The sequence below is a fragment of the Homo sapiens genome, chromosome 17 (assembly GCF_000001405.40).
Source record: "Homo sapiens chromosome 17, GRCh38.p14 Primary Assembly".
In the NCBI taxonomy this organism is placed as follows: Eukaryota; Metazoa; Chordata; class Mammalia; order Primates; family Hominidae; genus Homo; species Homo sapiens.
In genome coordinates, this window is record NC_000017.11 from 44186972 (window position 1) to 44200690 (window position 13719).

A 13719-nucleotide genomic window follows, 5' to 3' on the forward strand; every position below is an offset into this window, starting at 1 on the left:
AACAGCTTCCGGGAGAAGCCGGAAGAGACCGGACCCTGAACAGAATCGCAGATTGCCAGCCCTTTTCCCGACCCCTACGGAAAGACGAGTCCAGGGGCCGTCCTGGCGAGGTCAAAACATTTAGTCTGGTCTTTTCAGGTGAGGACTTCCCCATCCAGGCACAGTGCCGGTCCAATCCCCCTTTAATTTCCCATGACTCCTCGCGTCCTGAAGCCCCGCCCCCAGTTCCCCAGCCCCGCCCCGAAGTTTGAGGGGTGTGGACGGTTTGTGACCCCCTTAGCCGACCCTACTCCTCACTGGCCGGGACAACTGGTCTTATCACGGAGGCTGGGGCCAGGCAGCCCTTCGGTTCGGGTGGGCCCATGGACCCCAGTCCAACGCCGAGGGAATAGGACCATCCAAAAGCGGAACCTTCGCCTCAGAAAAAGGGTGCGGGACCCCTCCTCACCGTGCGGTCACGGTACGGACAGGGTAGATCACAGGCTGAGGGACAGAGCAAAGACCCCTGAGGCCGGACACCTGGGGTCCTGCCGGGCCCCTCCCCACGAGAGTTCCCTGTGTCTGTGCCAATCGTTTTCGTCTTTCTTTGCCGCAGTTTCTTTTCCTGTAAATCATGGTTAATAACATTAACCTTCTTACCATCAGGGGTTAGTTGTGGTTGTGATAAATAATTACTACCGTTATTAAGCAATTGCAATTTGCAGTGTGCCAGGCACTGTGCCAAGTATTTTGCTTCGATGATTTCACGTCATCTTCAAAACAACCTCATGAGGTAGGTACTGTTTTTAACCCCATTTTACTGATGAGAAAGCTGAGGCTCTGAGAAAGTTGTCTGAGGTGTTATAGCTAGTAAGACGCAAGACTGGGGTTATAATTAGTTGTTTTTCTAACTCCAGGGCCGGTATATTAAATAAGGATGTTGATGTGTTCCACAGATAATTCTTTGAGCAACTACTGGGGCATTATATTGGACACTTCAGTACCAAGAGAAATACATACGATCCTTGTCTACCAGGAGTCTAATAGAAAGATGGACAGGTACATAAGTATAATGAAGTTTTATAGGTGCTGTGAGAATAGTCTGATAATGGTAATCACCAGACTGGATTTGCCCAGGGACAGCTGTGAAAGCAGCAGATTCTCCAAGGGAAATAGTAGGTACTCCAAGGAGCAAGCAGGGACCCTTCCTGCCTTTCTAAGAAACTGCAGCAGCAGAACCTTCACAGTGAAAGAAGAGAGACTGAGATATGGATTGTGAGAGCTGTTATGGAATCTTTTTCAAATCACTCCACTTGGGGAGTGGTCATTGCAGGAGTGGGCCCATGGTGACCCAGGAAGGTGGTGCTTCTGGTGTCTGTCCCAAGTTGCTCCCCAGGGCTTGCCAGAAGTTTCAGAGGCGGCACATAATGTCTGCTGCATAGTATCTGCCCGCGGTCCCTACAGAGTTATCGTTTTAGATTTGTCTGACTCTGCTTTTGATGGTAGGTCAGTTTTCTTTGGCTCTTGACATCTGGCAGCCTGGATCTGTGACCAGGAATGAAATAGGCTCAAATGAGACAATCTGGCAGGGATGGCTAAACAGTGCTTCCAGGGGGGCCCCACAGTAAAATATTCCAGGCTTTTGGGTCTCTCTGAAGCCACTTTGGAGGCTGCTTAGGAGGCATATTTGCTTGACCAAGCGATAGAAATCCTAGAGAAACTCAGGCCTCAGCAAAGATTTTTCCTCATTCACCAAAAAAGCAACAACAGTAGCAGCAGCAGCAAGGCTGTGGGCTTTTCCTGCTGATCCACACTCATTGGGAAGTTGGAGTTTGAGAGAGGAAGGTCACAGAACGTGAAAGCAAGAGTTTCACAATAGAGGCAAAGGGTAGGGTAGGTCTTTAGGTTTAGGTTGGGGTGCCGGAATTAGGAAGGTTTGTGCCCCCTTCTACACAACACTGAACTCCTTTTTTTTTTTTTTCAGGGCTGGGTCAGTTAGAACCTAAACAAACTAGAGACCTGGTTGCAACCCCTCAGGCTCTGCTGATGCTGTCCCCCTTTGTTCCTGCAGCGTGGACCCTGCCAGCAGCCAGGCCATGGAGCTCTCTGATGTCACCCTCATTGAGGGTGTGGGTAATGAGGTGATGGTGGTGGCAGGTGTGGTGGTGCTGATTCTAGCCTTGGTCCTAGCTTGGCTCTCTACCTACGTAGCAGACAGCGGTAGCAACCAGCTCCTGGGCGCTATTGTGTCAGCAGGCGACACATCCGTCCTCCACCTGGGGCATGTGGACCACCTGGTGGCAGGCCAAGGCAACCCCGAGCCAACTGAACTCCCCCATCCATCAGAGGGTAATGATGAGAAGGCTGAAGAGGCGGGTGAAGGTCGGGGAGACTCCACTGGGGAGGCTGGAGCTGGGGGTGGTGTTGAGCCCAGCCTTGAGCATCTCCTTGACATCCAAGGCCTGCCCAAAAGACAAGCAGGTGCAGGCAGCAGCAGTCCAGAGGCCCCCCTGAGATCTGAGGATAGCACCTGCCTCCCTCCCAGCCCTGGCCTCATCACTGTGCGGCTCAAATTCCTCAATGATACCGAGGAGCTGGCTGTGGCTAGGCCAGAGGATACCGTGGGTGCCCTGAAGAGGTGAGTGGCCTGGGAAGTGGGAAGCTGCTTGTGCTCATCCCCCAGCCCTTGGTTGCCTCTAAGGAGGCTGGTGCAGACATGGGAGCTGCAGCAAAGTGTAAGATCCAGCCCCTACCAAGGGCAGGTAGATACTTTCTTAGAAATACACCCTTCAGGCCGGGTGCAGTGGCTCCCGGGACTTTGGGAGGCCGAGGCGGGTGCATCACGAGGTTAGGAGTTCGAGACCAGCCTGACCAACATGGTGAAACCCCATCTCTACTAAACATACAAAAATCAGCCGGGCGTGGTGGCGCACGCCTGCAATCCCAGCTACTCAGGAGGCTGAGGCAGGAGAATCGCTTGAACCCAGGAGGTGGAGGTTGCAGTGAGCCGAGATTGCGCCACTGCACTCCAGCCTGGGCGACAGAGTGAGACTCCATCTAAAAAAACAAAACAAACAAATACACCCCTCATTAGTTAAGGATAAAGATGAGGGGGGCCTGTCGCGGTGGCTCACGCCTGTAATCCCAGCACTTTGGGAGGCCAAGGCGGGCAGATCACAAGGTCAAGATATCAAGACCATCCTGGCCAGCATGGTGAAACCCTGTCTCTACTAAAAAAAAAAATACAAAAATTAGCTGGGCATGGTGGCGCACTCCTGTAGTCCCAGCTACTCGGGAGGGTGAGGCAGGAGAATTGCTTGAACCCGGGAGGCAGAGGTTGCAGTGAGCCGAGATCGCGCCACTGCACTCCAGCCTGGCAACAGAGTGAGACTCCGTCTCAAAAAAAAAAAAAAAAAAAAAAGGATAAAGATGAGGGAAAAAAAAATCCACCCTCCAGTTTTTCCCCACTCCCCTGCTTTGTTGGTCCAGGCCTGTTTGCCTTCTCATTCCTCACCCTCTATCTTTTCTTCCATGTCTTTCATCCTTACAGCAAATACTTCCCTGGACAAGAAAGCCAGATGAAACTGATCTACCAGGGCCGCCTGCTACAAGACCCAGCCCGCACACTGCGTTCTCTGAACATTACCGACAACTGTGTGATTCACTGCCACCGCTCACCCCCAGGGTCAGCTGTTCCAGGCCCCTCAGCCTCCTTGGCCCCCTCGGCCACTGAGCCACCCAGCCTTGGTGTCAATGTGGGCAGCCTCATGGTGCCTGTCTTTGTGGTGCTGTTGGGTGTGGTCTGGTACTTCCGAATCAATTACCGCCAATTCTTCACAGCACCTGCCACTGTCTCCCTGGTGGGAGTCACCGTCTTCTTCAGCTTCCTAGTATTTGGGATGTATGGACGATAAGGACATAGGAAGAAAATGAAAGGCATGGTCTTTCTCCTTTACGGCCTCCCCACTTTTCCTGGCCAGAGCTGGGCCCAAGGGCCGGGGAGGGAGGGGTGGAAAGGATGTGATGGAAATCTCCTCCATAGGACACAGGAGGCAAGTATGCGGCCTCCCCTTCTCATCCACAGGAGTACAGATGTCCCTCCCGTGCGAGCACAACTCAGGTAGAAATGAGGATGTCATCTTCCTTCACTTTTAGGGTCCTCTGAAGGAGTTCAAAGCTGCTGGCCAAGCTCAGTGGGGAGCCTGGGCTCTGAGATTCCCTCCCACCTGTGGTTCTGACTCTTCCCAGTGTCCTGCATGTCTGCCCCCAGCACCCAGGGCTGCCTGCAAGGGCAGCTCAGCATGGCCCCAGCACAACTCCGTAGGGAGCCTGGAGTATCCTTCCATTTCTCAGCCAAATACTCATCTTTTGAGACTGAAATCACACTGGCGGGAATGAAGATTGTGCCAGCCTTCTCTTATGGGCACCTAGCCGCCTTCACCTTCTTCCTCTACCCCTTAGCAGGAATAGGGTGTCCTCCCTTCTTTCAAAGCACTTTGCTTGCATTTTATTTTATTTTTTTAAGAGTCCTTCATAGAGCTCAGTCAGGAAGGGGATGGGGCACCAAGCCAAGCCCCCAGCATTGGGAGCGGCCAGGCCACAGCTGCTGCTCCCGTAGTCCTCAGGCTGTAAGCAAGAGACAGCACTGGCCCTTGGCCAGCGTCCTACCCTGCCCAACTCCAAGGACTGGGTATGGATTGCTGGGCCCTAGGCTCTTGCTTCTGGGGCTATTGGAGGGTCAGTGTCTGTGACTGAATAAAGTTCCATTTTGTGGTCCTGCAGCCTCTTTCTGTGACAGAGAATGGCTTTGCGCTGCCCCCAGGAAAATGGTAATGAGAGTAGGTAGGCCGGGGCTACCAACGGGAGATGCAGTTTATTTACACCAGCAGCCATGGGGGCAGAGGGAATACACAGCGTTTACAAAGTTAGCTACCTGTACAGAATGGATTACATATGCAAAAATAAAAATCTCAAGACCACAGGACAGCGTGAGCCCCACCCCCCTCCCCCAATGACCCCAGCATGCGGTAATGCCAGGCGGGTGGCCCCTGGGCATGCGGGGGGGAGTGATGCATGGAAGGAAAAGCCACCGGCCATGGAAATTAGTACAGAACCCCCCCACACACACTCAGACACAGGATACAGGGTGGACGACACCTAGCCGGGGTGGGAAGGATGGGAATTGAAACCCACACAGCCTGCTGTTAGAGGGAGGGGAGTGGGGAGCTCCTAGCCCCTGTTCAACTACATGGTAGGGGGGGCACTCTCTCCCCAGAAGGAAAAGGGTTTGTTCCCTCAGGGTCCCTGCTGGACCAAGCCCATCTCTTACCCAGCCTGGGCAGGGGGCTCTGCCCTGAGGGCGGGCCAAGGAACAATGGGGAAGTTTATGTGGACAAACCAGTTCCCAAGCTACTTCCCACTTCTCCCTCCTCCAACCAGAAGGGGGGAAAAGGGAGAGGCCACAGGGCAAAGAGTGTATTAGGGCCTGAGCTGCAGCTGCCTCTCAGAAGGGAGAGTGGCCCACAGCCTTCCTCCCTTCACCTTCAGCCCACTCCCCAGACTGCATCTGGAAGCGGCTAGAGGCCTGCTGAGATCCTCCTCTCCCTCTGGCCTCCTCTCGGAGGGAGACTACGGAGGGCCAAGAATAGAGAAGCCCAGGCCCCGGGATTTATTCTAACTCCTGCCAAAATCTGTTTGGCTTTTTAAAAAATAATCACAATTTGTGGGTTAAAAACCAATTTGCAACCAGGCATGAGCCACAATCAGAACCACCCCAGCGGGAGAGCGGAGTTCCAGACAGGGCATTGCAGCCCCATCTCTGTTGTTCCCTTAACCCTCTAGGGTCCCTAACCCGATCAGTCCAACCAGTCCTGGGTACTAACTACCCAAATGTGGGATGGCTCCTCTTGGGAAGAGGGTAGGGGACATGTCCAGCAAGTGCCAGAGAACTTGGCTCAGGGTCACCTCCACCCATGTCAGTCAGCTCTGCTCCCAGCCCAGGTCGCGGTCCTCCAGCTTGGCTCCTGGGAGTGGTGGTGCCCGCATGGAGGGGGGACGGTACATCTCTTTAGGATGTAGACCAGGCAGGTGGGCACACTGGCATGACAGTCCCACAGAGGGGCAGTGACACCCCTTCCCCTCCACTGACAACCTGGGGCACAGAGGCCACCCTCTCTTCCCACCCAACTCCTAGCAAAGGGGGAGAGGCACAAGATTAGGATTTTCCTCAGAGCCCCAAACCACAAGTACAGAATAAATAACTTAAAAGCGCTAAGGAAGGGAAACAGGGCACGCTTTGGAGGCAGGAGCGCTGAGAGGAACTGAAGCCAGTCAAGGTGAAGGGGGTGGAAGCAGCAGTTGGGAACCTGGGCTGCCCCGGTAGGGCAGTGGGGCAGGGTGGGCAGGAGGAACACGGGGCCACCCCAGGAGGGTGAGGCTGGGTCCCTTCCTGGGGCAGGGAATGAGGTAAGAAAACATTTCAAATAAAGCAGCACCGTTCCCTCTCACCTTGGGGCCCCACTCCTCACCAGCCCTGGGTCAGGGAGGAGAGGCAGGGGGAGGAATTCTGACACTTCTCCCTCTTCCTACCCTCCCTTTCCCATTCCTTGAAGCTGTAGAGGCTGGAGGCCCTTTCCTGGCACCCAACAAAAGGACAGCTCCTGCTGCCAAGGAGGCCCATGGGGACTGAGGGGAAAGGGCTGCCCCTGTGAGGGGCAGGGAAGGTGGCGGCAGTTCTGGACGCCCACCTCAGCAGACAGCACTCTGTGCCTGCCTACCCCTGGGACTGGGGGCATTTGATAAGATTCTGCACACAGACAGGACATGCCCAGCCTTGCCCCTCAGCTCCAAGCACCGGACCCATTCACATTGCTGAGGGCGGCCGAGGCAGGCCCCCTCCAGGCTCAGCTTCCAACCCACAGCCTCCCGGGTCGCCACATTGCCCCTCAGCAGGGCTTAGTCCAGTTCCTGGGGTGGGGGGCAGGCAGTGCCCTGGCACAGTGCCCAGGTCAGGCCCCTGGCCTAGCTGGACATCCAGTAACTCACAGAATAAATAGGAAAACCGCCTCCCCACCAAACTTATGTCCAAGGCATAATATGTCCAGGTCTGAGTCCTGCACGCCGAGGAGTCGTGCTCCATTGCAGAGGACTTTGACACCCCCCAGGGGCGCATAATCGGATCCTCTGCCTGCCTGGCCCACCAAGCTTCCCAAGCCCCAACCCCCAGCAGCCGTCCATTTGCCAGGCTATGCCACCTGGGTGGGGGTCAGGAGAGAGGGCTCTGCTCAGCCAAAGGCTATCCCTTGCACCCAAGTCAGTTGATGTCATCATAGATGCTGGGCGTCGGGGGTGCCGGTGGCTTTGGCTTCTTCTTCTTGTTGGAACCTAGGCCGGAGGCAGTCCCTACCAGGCTCAGATGGGATTTCTTTTTCTTGGTTTTCCGTGACTCAGAGCTGTTGGTACCTGTAGAGAAAGAGACACAAGGGATGAGAGTATGGTTATGGCAGGAGAGGTGGCACCCCCATGGCTTTGGGCACAGAGCCCCTAGGGCCCAACTGCATCACGTACCTAGACCCCATCCCTGATTTTCACTCGTCTTGGAGGAGCCTGAATCAGAGGGTGAGAGGTCAGAGGAGCCGTCCCACTGAAGCCGGCTGATCAGGGCCTGGCTGTCAGTCATGTCAAAGCTGTCATTATCCAGGGAGCTCTCGACCTCTGGAAGGACACTGGAAAGGGGATGAGCCAAAGAAGGGCTTTAGAGATAGTGATCATCGCCCTAACTGGTCACAACCCCCCACCCTTCCTGTAGGGCCACTTACGCCGAGGGCCCGAGAAAATAAATCCGTACGGTTCGCCTCTGCTCATCTGTGTGCTGTGGGCAGCGCAGGGACCTGGTGGTGAGGCAAGGCAGGGAGGGTTCTGAGGAACTCAGGTAAAGCCCCTCCCCTCGGCAAGGCAGGAGCCACAGGCACAGACAGGGAAGGGGTGAATGCAGATTCATCCCCAGATTGTGGCCAAAGGCCTCATCATTAGAGGAGGGAAGGGGAAGGGCAGGAGCCCCATTGCTCAAGTCCAGGGGTACTCCCAACCCATGCCCATGGTGAGTGTGCAGGAAGCGCCTGGCCCCCTTTCTAGGTTCTGTGCTCACCTTGTGCACATCTTCTTGGTGTGTTCAGAAATCACCCCACATTGCTGGAAGAGGAATATAAGCTGAAAGGAGGGATGGAAGGAACCTACTCTAGATGTTAGATGTTTCTTTCTGTATAAATGCTAGATAGCACAAGCAGAGATGGCCCAAAGGTGTCCAGAGCAGATGGTCCCAGGACACTATGGGCCGGGAAACCTAATTCCAGACAGAGAGAACGATACGGCCCTGACTGCTAGGTCACCAGCTTCCTCCCAGGCCTTGACCACTGCCTATGGCTCCAGCCCACTCCCAGGGACCTTCTCTCTTGCTGGTCCTCCCTCACCGTGGTTAGCAGGCTGCGAAGCTCCTCCGGCCCCAGGGTCTCATAGCTGATCCCAGTTGAATTGTTATACTGCAGGACAACCAGAGGTACAGGTTAGAGATGGGGCAGAGAAAAGAGAAGGACAGGGGTGGAAGTGAGAATCAGTCCCTCTGGTCCCTTTCTAAGTGAGGCTTTAGAACGACCCTGCCGTTTTCCAAGTGATTTCTCTCATCCCATCTGCCAATGGATAAGGGGTGGGACTCAGAAAGAACATAAATATGTAAGATCCAAATAGCTCATCAGTGCCTCTGGCTGTCAGCATTCTGATCCCTACTTGTCCAAATCCCCACCACCTCACAACCAGGACAATGAGAGCAAGCATGAGGGGCGGCCCATACTCACCTTAAAAGGATCCGAATTGCTAAGTTCCCCTGAAGAAGAAAAAAGAAGGGGAAGGGTGTTTGATGCAGAGGTACAGACAGAGAACCCTGAAAATAACCAGAGAGGAAGTGGGGGTGACAGAAGGATCACAGGCCCTCCCTCAATTCCCCTATCCCCGGGCCCCACCTCCACCCCCCGGCAATGAGTCCCAGAAGACACAGCTAGAAGCATTCCCATTGCTCCGGCTCCACTTACCATTTTTGTGTTTTAATGACTTGGATCTTCGAGGGGAATTGGGGTTCTGGAATGGGAGATACCATAGCTTTGGGGAAAGGGTAACGAAAAGGGGGAGCCGAGAACCCAGGGAAGGAAAAAAGATTTGACAAAGCAGCATCCTCAAATTCCTACTCTTCCTCCCCAGTAGGAGGCCTGTCTACCCATGTGCCCTCCCCCACCCCCCTTCCCCACCCACACTCCCCCGCCCCGGACCCACCAAAGACACCCTCAAGCCCCCAATGACCTCAGCCTTGAGTCATGACACTCGAGGACTCCCTGCCCAAAGGGGAGGGTATCTGTCCTTTACCCATTATTTCCCCAATGCCTGGCCCGGCTCTCACCTTGTCTGACTTTCTCTTCTTGGCTGTGGGAAACAAAAGCATAAAGAGCAGGGTTTCCGTTAAGTTCTCAATCTAAAAGCATCTCAAGAAAACCATACAACAGGCTGGGCACGGTGGCTCATGCCTGTAATCCCAGCACTTTGGGAGGCCCAGGCGGGCAGATCACGAGGTCAGAAGATCGAGACCATCCTGGCCAATATGGTGAAACCCCATCTCTACTAAAAATACAAAAATTAGCTGGGCATGGTAGCACGCGACTGTAATCCCAGCTACTCAGGAGGCTGACACAGGAGAATCGCTTGAACCCGGGAGACGGAGGTTGCAGTGAGCCGAGATCTCACCACTGCACCCCAGCCTGGGCCACAGAGCGAGAATCCATCTCAAAAAAAAAAAAAAAAAAAAAAGGAAAAGGAAATCGCGTAACTACACTCTCTCTTCATCATTCAAGGCAACAATTTGTGACCACTGTATACCCAATTCCTGCTTCCCACCTCATCCCAATGCCCCCCGGGTTTCCCCAGATCCCCAAGCACCTTTCTTCTCCGAGCCATAGGACCAGTCGTTGTCATTGATGTCATCATTATCTTCTTGGTCACTCTCAGACTTATTCATATTGTTGCTATTGGCAATCCTGCCAAGGGGAGGGAAGAGAAAGGGGCCAAGGGGAAGGAAGAGAAAGGGGTCAAGGTGGTCACCCCGCTCTGCCCCCAACTTCAGAAGCAGGTGGAGCATCTGGGGCCAAGTAAAACCCACCCTCTGTACCTTCCCAATGCCCCCGGGGGACTACACCATGGCACAGGCTGCAGAGAACGGGCAGCTCTGGTTCCCTCACCGGCGGTTGGCGATTCGGCTGCTGTTCCGACCCATTCCCAGGCACTTCTCCAGATGGGGAGCAAAGCGGGAGGCGGCAATGCTGCGACTGCAATTGGGGCAAACACACTCCTTGCTCTTCCACTGGTTGAAAACCTGTCCAAAGATGTCCAAGCCCGGCTGGTCCACGATCTCTGGGGACAGGAGAGGCTGGCGATCAGGGTGGGCAGGACCCTCTCCTCTTGTTCCCACCTGGGGTCCCACGGCCTCTTCAATCCCTCCCCCGGCTCACAGGAGCTCCAGGTGCTACATCTAGCACAGTTTCCAGAGAAGGAAACTCCAGGCAGTCCCAGGGAAGGGCTGGACTGCTGCTCCTTCACCCTGAAGCTCACCAAAATCCTTCATGCTATCAGGGTCCGTGTCGTCCAAGAAGAAGTAGCCACACTTGACAGCCCGGTGTACCTCAAAGCAGAATCCCAAACAAGAATCCTCGACCAGGTCCGCGTATATCTCCTGAGCGATGGCCTGGGCCCCAGGGGAGAACATCTACGGTCACAAGAGTCACAGCCCCCTGGACTCTCACCAACCAAATCTGCTGCCAACTGGCCCCAGCCAAAAATCATGCTTTCTTTGCCATTTTCCCCATCTTGACTTCGTGTTCTTTCTTCTTCCTGGATCCTTGGCTTTTTCAGCTGGCTATTCCCTTTAAGGAACAAGGCTGACTACCCAAATTCCTCTTTGGTGTGGATGCCAGATACAGCGACGTAGAGACATCAAGAGAAAGAACTGGAGGCACACGTGGGGGAGCCCTCACCTCTAGTTTGCTGTTATCCAGGCCAGACAAAGACATTTCCTCCATTTTCATTTGTAAACTCTTGTGGAGACGGCGCTCTGACTGCTCATAGCACAGCGGGCGGCAACACGGCTGCACACACGGGGGTGGGGGTGTTGTTGTGAGTCCAAGGCACCTCTGAATGCGGCCACCTTCCCTCCCCACCTCGCTGCCCAAAGCTCAGTCCTGGCATCAGGGTCTCTCCCTCCCCAAGGCCCAGGCTCCCTAAGTCTGGATGGTCCTTCAAGGCCTGAAACCTAAAGGGGGCCTAGTCTTTCCCAGGCCTGAGCTCAGGCCCTGGACTCCACTGCCAATCAGAGTCTGGGTCTATAGGAGGCAGCAGCTCACCCTAGGTCCCCAAAACTCAAACCCCTCTTTGATACCCATGGTGCAATGCAGCAGGGGGAGGAGAAGGAACTCCAAGGCCTCAAAGCAAACCCACAGGGTGTGGCAAAGAACTGCACAGACTCCTAAATACACCCCCCGCCTTCCCTAAAGACTCTCCTCAGAGTCACCTCTGCTTTCAGCCAGGATGTCCACTTGGGGGGGTACTGCTACCAGAAGTAGAAATGGCCCTAGGACCCTACAACCTTCACCCCACTCTGTCTTCCCTTGAAATCAGCCTGCCACTCCACGAGGGGAGCAGAGCCCACAGGAGCCTAGAGCTAAGGGACATTTCTAGCCACCATGAGCAGGAACGGCGGGGGGTGGGGGGGAAGAGCCTGGTAGGGTGGCACGCCAGGAGCGGGCACTCCCCTTACCTGTTCTTCCTTTAAATAACCACCCGCCCTCCCTCAGGACCAGCCCGGAAGTCTCTCCAAGAGCCCCAAAGTCCAGGAACCCCCACCCAAGGATTCAGACACAGAACCCACAACCCAGGGCCCCTCGGAACGGTGGGTACGAGTTTCAGGAGCTGCCGGCCTAGAGTGGGGTGGGGACTGACGAATGAGCCGGGGGCACTGGGAAGGGTAGGAGGCCGGGCCTCGGCTCTTCCCCCGTCCCTGCGGCACTGCTGCTGCATCATACCGACTGGGGGGAGGACAGCCGAGCCGCCGGGGCCGGCGCCGGGCCGGGACAGACCGACCCCCAGAGAGTGGGACGCGTCCCAGCCCCTCTCCTTCCCCGCCCGCCAGCAGCCCCGGCCGGCCGGGGAGAGGAGTCCGGGAGGGTGTCTCTATTGTCCCGGGGGCTGGGGCCTGGCTCCCTAACAAAGGCCCCGCGCCCCCTCCCCGGCCGGCCCTGCCCCGCCCAAGGGGGACCCAGACGGGGGAGAGCCAGGGGCCCCGGCCCGGCCGGGAAGCTGGGGGAAGCCGGGCGTTTCCGCGTCGGCCCGGGGGGAGGGGAAGGGGCGCTGACCCAGACCTGGGGGGAGGGGGCCCAAGCCCCGCCTTGGGCCCCGCCCCCCGCCCCCCACAGGCCCCTCCCCCGTCCCCGTCCCCGTCTCCGTCCCGTACTCACCCCGCCCGGGGGGCCGCGCCGGGGCCCGGCAGCCTCTCAGGGCCGCGTCCTCCGGCGGCGGCGACGGCGGCGGCTGCTCCGGAGCCCCATGTCCGTCGGTCCGTCCTCGCCTCTCCCCGGGGCCCAGGGCCCGGGGCCGGGGGGTCGGGCCGCCCCCCCGCCTGGCCGCCTCACCGGGCGGCCATGGCCCCTTCCCCTCCCTTCTTGTCCCGTCGCCGCCTCCTCCTCCTCACCTCACCCCGCCCGCGCGCAGTCCGCGCGCCGTCCGCGCGCCCCTCCCCCCGCCCCCCACTCCAGCCCGCCTCTCCCGGGCGGGGGGTGCGGCGCGAGCCCGGAGCGCGCGCGCGTGTGCCGCGACCGGAGGATGGATGGATGGAGCGAGCGTGAACGCGAGCGTGCGCGCGCGCGCCCCTCTCCCCCTCCCTCTGCGCGGGCGCGAGGCCAAGCGCGAGCGCGCTCCAACCTCCTCCTCTTCCTCCTCCCGCCCCTCCCCAACACCCCGCCCTCCCCCTCCCTTCCTCTTCCTTCTTTCGCTTTCGCGCGCCCAGCGACTGCTCGCGCCTGCTAGAAGGGCCCGAGCGCGTGCATCTGCCCCGCGGCCGCAGCTCGGCAGCATTTGCTCCAGGGGGCGGGGACCGGGAGGGGAGGAGGGGCGCCACGCCGCCGTCCAAAGTACCGGCGGACGGGGACGGGGGCGGAGAGATGGGCGGGGCCTTCGCGGACCTCCCCGACCAATCGCAGGGAGGCCTCGGCCCGGGAGGACCAATAAGATGGGGGTGGGTGGGGCGGCGTTCAAGGTGAGGTGCGCGGTGCGCTGGGGGCGGAGACGTTTTGCCGTCCCGGCCGGCTCGGGGGCGGGGGCAGCGGGTGGCGTCGAAAGAGAGCGCCGGCTGCCAGCCGAGCCTGGGACGCCTTCCGGCCCAGGCTCCCCCGCCCTTCCCTCGGGGCTCCCCGCTCTCTCCCCCGCCACCCTCCGCTCCCCCCTTTACCCCGAGGCGTGCAGCCACTTCTGTGAAGAGGCCAGACTTGAAGTGGGGCGCAGTTAGGACCTCGGGGCGGAAAGCCTGTGGAGCCTAAGGGGCTCGCCCGCGCCTCAGTTCTCCCGGTTTCTGGGCGGGTCTCAGCCCACTCCAGGCTTGCGGACCAACAAGCGGCCGAGATGAGGGTCCGCTGCTGAGGTCGGAGGCCGAGCTGC

The 13719-nt window shown here is 57.6% G+C and overlaps 2 protein-coding genes and 1 long non-coding RNA gene across 57 annotated transcripts in view, besides 9 other annotated features; 2 read left to right on the forward strand and 1 right to left on the reverse strand.

Annotated features, from left to right (window-relative positions):
• TMUB2 (transmembrane and ubiquitin like domain containing 2) lies at positions 1-4958 on the forward strand. 47 transcript variants are annotated; one of them, NM_001353185.2, is made up of 7 exons: positions 1-138; positions 705-772; positions 936-1038; positions 2051-2328; positions 2440-2617; positions 3530-3915; positions 4135-4958. In NM_001353185.2, exons 3-6 carry the CDS (start codon positions 1031-1033, stop codon positions 3891-3893), a joined length of 828 nt encoding a protein of 275 aa, NP_001340114.1. In that variant the 5' UTR covers positions 1-138; positions 705-772; positions 936-1030; the 3' UTR covers positions 3894-3915; positions 4135-4958. The 47 variants fall into 47 exon arrangements, 42 of the variants coding, with proteins under 42 accessions (NP_001340114.1, NP_001317164.1, NP_001340120.1 ...); XM_047436710.1 differs by lacking the exon at positions 1-138 and adding an exon at positions 232-460 and having other exon boundaries at positions 1964-2328; NR_148387.2 differs by having other exon boundaries at positions 2453-2617; positions 3530-4958.
• ATXN7L3 (ataxin 7 like 3) lies at positions 4834-12913 on the reverse strand. 9 transcript variants are annotated; one of them, NM_001382309.1, is made up of 13 exons: positions 12525-12913; positions 11049-11159; positions 10627-10759; positions 10257-10428; positions 9958-10055; positions 9425-9447; positions 9063-9108; positions 8829-8857; positions 8448-8516; positions 8126-8169; positions 7797-7868; positions 7546-7703; positions 4834-7440 (listed from the first exon to the last, which is right to left on the reverse strand). In NM_001382309.1, exons 2-13 carry the CDS (start codon positions 11097-11099, stop codon positions 7292-7294), a joined length of 1044 nt encoding a protein of 347 aa, NP_001369238.1. In that variant the 5' UTR covers positions 11100-11159; positions 12525-12913; the 3' UTR covers positions 4834-7291. The 9 variants fall into 9 exon arrangements, with proteins under 9 accessions (NP_001369238.1, NP_001369245.1, NP_001369237.1 ...); NM_001382316.1 differs by having other exon boundaries at positions 8829-8914; NM_001382308.1 differs by having other exon boundaries at positions 9063-9129.
• Positions 9884-10807: an enhancer, noted in NCBI's record as "H3K4me1 hESC enhancer chr17:42274223-42275146 (GRCh37/hg19 assembly coordinates)". NCBI's record gives its function as "activates a minimal SCP1, AML or CMV promoter by ChIP-STARR-seq in primed H9 embryonic stem cells {active_cell/tissue: H9 hESC(primed)}" and the evidence as "EXISTENCE:reporter gene assay evidence [ECO:0000049][PMID:30033119]".
• Positions 10808-11730: an enhancer, noted in NCBI's record as "H3K4me1 hESC enhancer chr17:42275147-42276069 (GRCh37/hg19 assembly coordinates)". NCBI's record gives its function as "activates a minimal SCP1, AML or CMV promoter by ChIP-STARR-seq in primed H9 embryonic stem cells {active_cell/tissue: H9 hESC(primed)}" and the evidence as "EXISTENCE:reporter gene assay evidence [ECO:0000049][PMID:30033119]".
• Positions 11290-11584: an enhancer, noted in NCBI's record as "tiled region #8559; K562 Activating non-DNase unmatched - State 1:Tss". NCBI's record gives its function as "activates a minimal TATA promoter and a strong SV40 promoter by Sharpr-MPRA in K562 cells {active_cell/tissue: K562}" and the evidence as "EXISTENCE:reporter gene assay evidence [ECO:0000049][PMID:27701403]".
• ATXN7L3-AS1 (ATXN7L3 antisense RNA 1) overlaps positions 11869-13719 on the forward strand; it is a 24868-nt gene continuing 23017 nt past the window's right edge. The window contains exon 1 of the long non-coding RNA NR_184071.1: positions 11869-11959. This is a non-coding gene — a long non-coding RNA (ATXN7L3 antisense RNA 1). The remainder of the gene's footprint in view (positions 11960-13719) is intronic.
• Positions 11935-12490: an enhancer, noted in NCBI's record as "H3K27ac hESC enhancer chr17:42276274-42276829 (GRCh37/hg19 assembly coordinates)". NCBI's record gives its function as "activates a minimal SCP1, AML or CMV promoter by ChIP-STARR-seq in primed H9 embryonic stem cells {active_cell/tissue: H9 hESC(primed)}" and the evidence as "EXISTENCE:reporter gene assay evidence [ECO:0000049][PMID:30033119]".
• Positions 11935-12661: a biological region, named in NCBI's record as "H3K27ac hESC enhancer GRCh37_chr17:42276274-42276829".
• Positions 12052-12661: a silencer, noted in NCBI's record as "silent region_8577". NCBI's record gives its function as "represses an Ori minimal core promoter by ATAC-STARR-seq in GM12878 lymphoblastoid cells {active_cell/tissue: GM12878}" and the evidence as "EXISTENCE:reporter gene assay evidence [ECO:0000049][PMID:35858748]".
• Positions 12762-13561: a silencer, noted in NCBI's record as "silent region_8578". NCBI's record gives its function as "represses an Ori minimal core promoter by ATAC-STARR-seq in GM12878 lymphoblastoid cells {active_cell/tissue: GM12878}" and the evidence as "EXISTENCE:reporter gene assay evidence [ECO:0000049][PMID:35858748]".
• Positions 12762-13719: part of a biological region, named in NCBI's record as "H3K27ac hESC enhancer GRCh37_chr17:42277555-42278093", that runs on past the window's edge.
• Positions 13216-13719: part of an enhancer, noted in NCBI's record as "H3K27ac hESC enhancer chr17:42277555-42278093 (GRCh37/hg19 assembly coordinates)", that runs on past the window's edge. NCBI's record gives its function as "activates a minimal SCP1, AML or CMV promoter by ChIP-STARR-seq in naive and primed H9 embryonic stem cells {active_cell/tissue: H9 hESC(naive and primed)}" and the evidence as "EXISTENCE:reporter gene assay evidence [ECO:0000049][PMID:30033119]".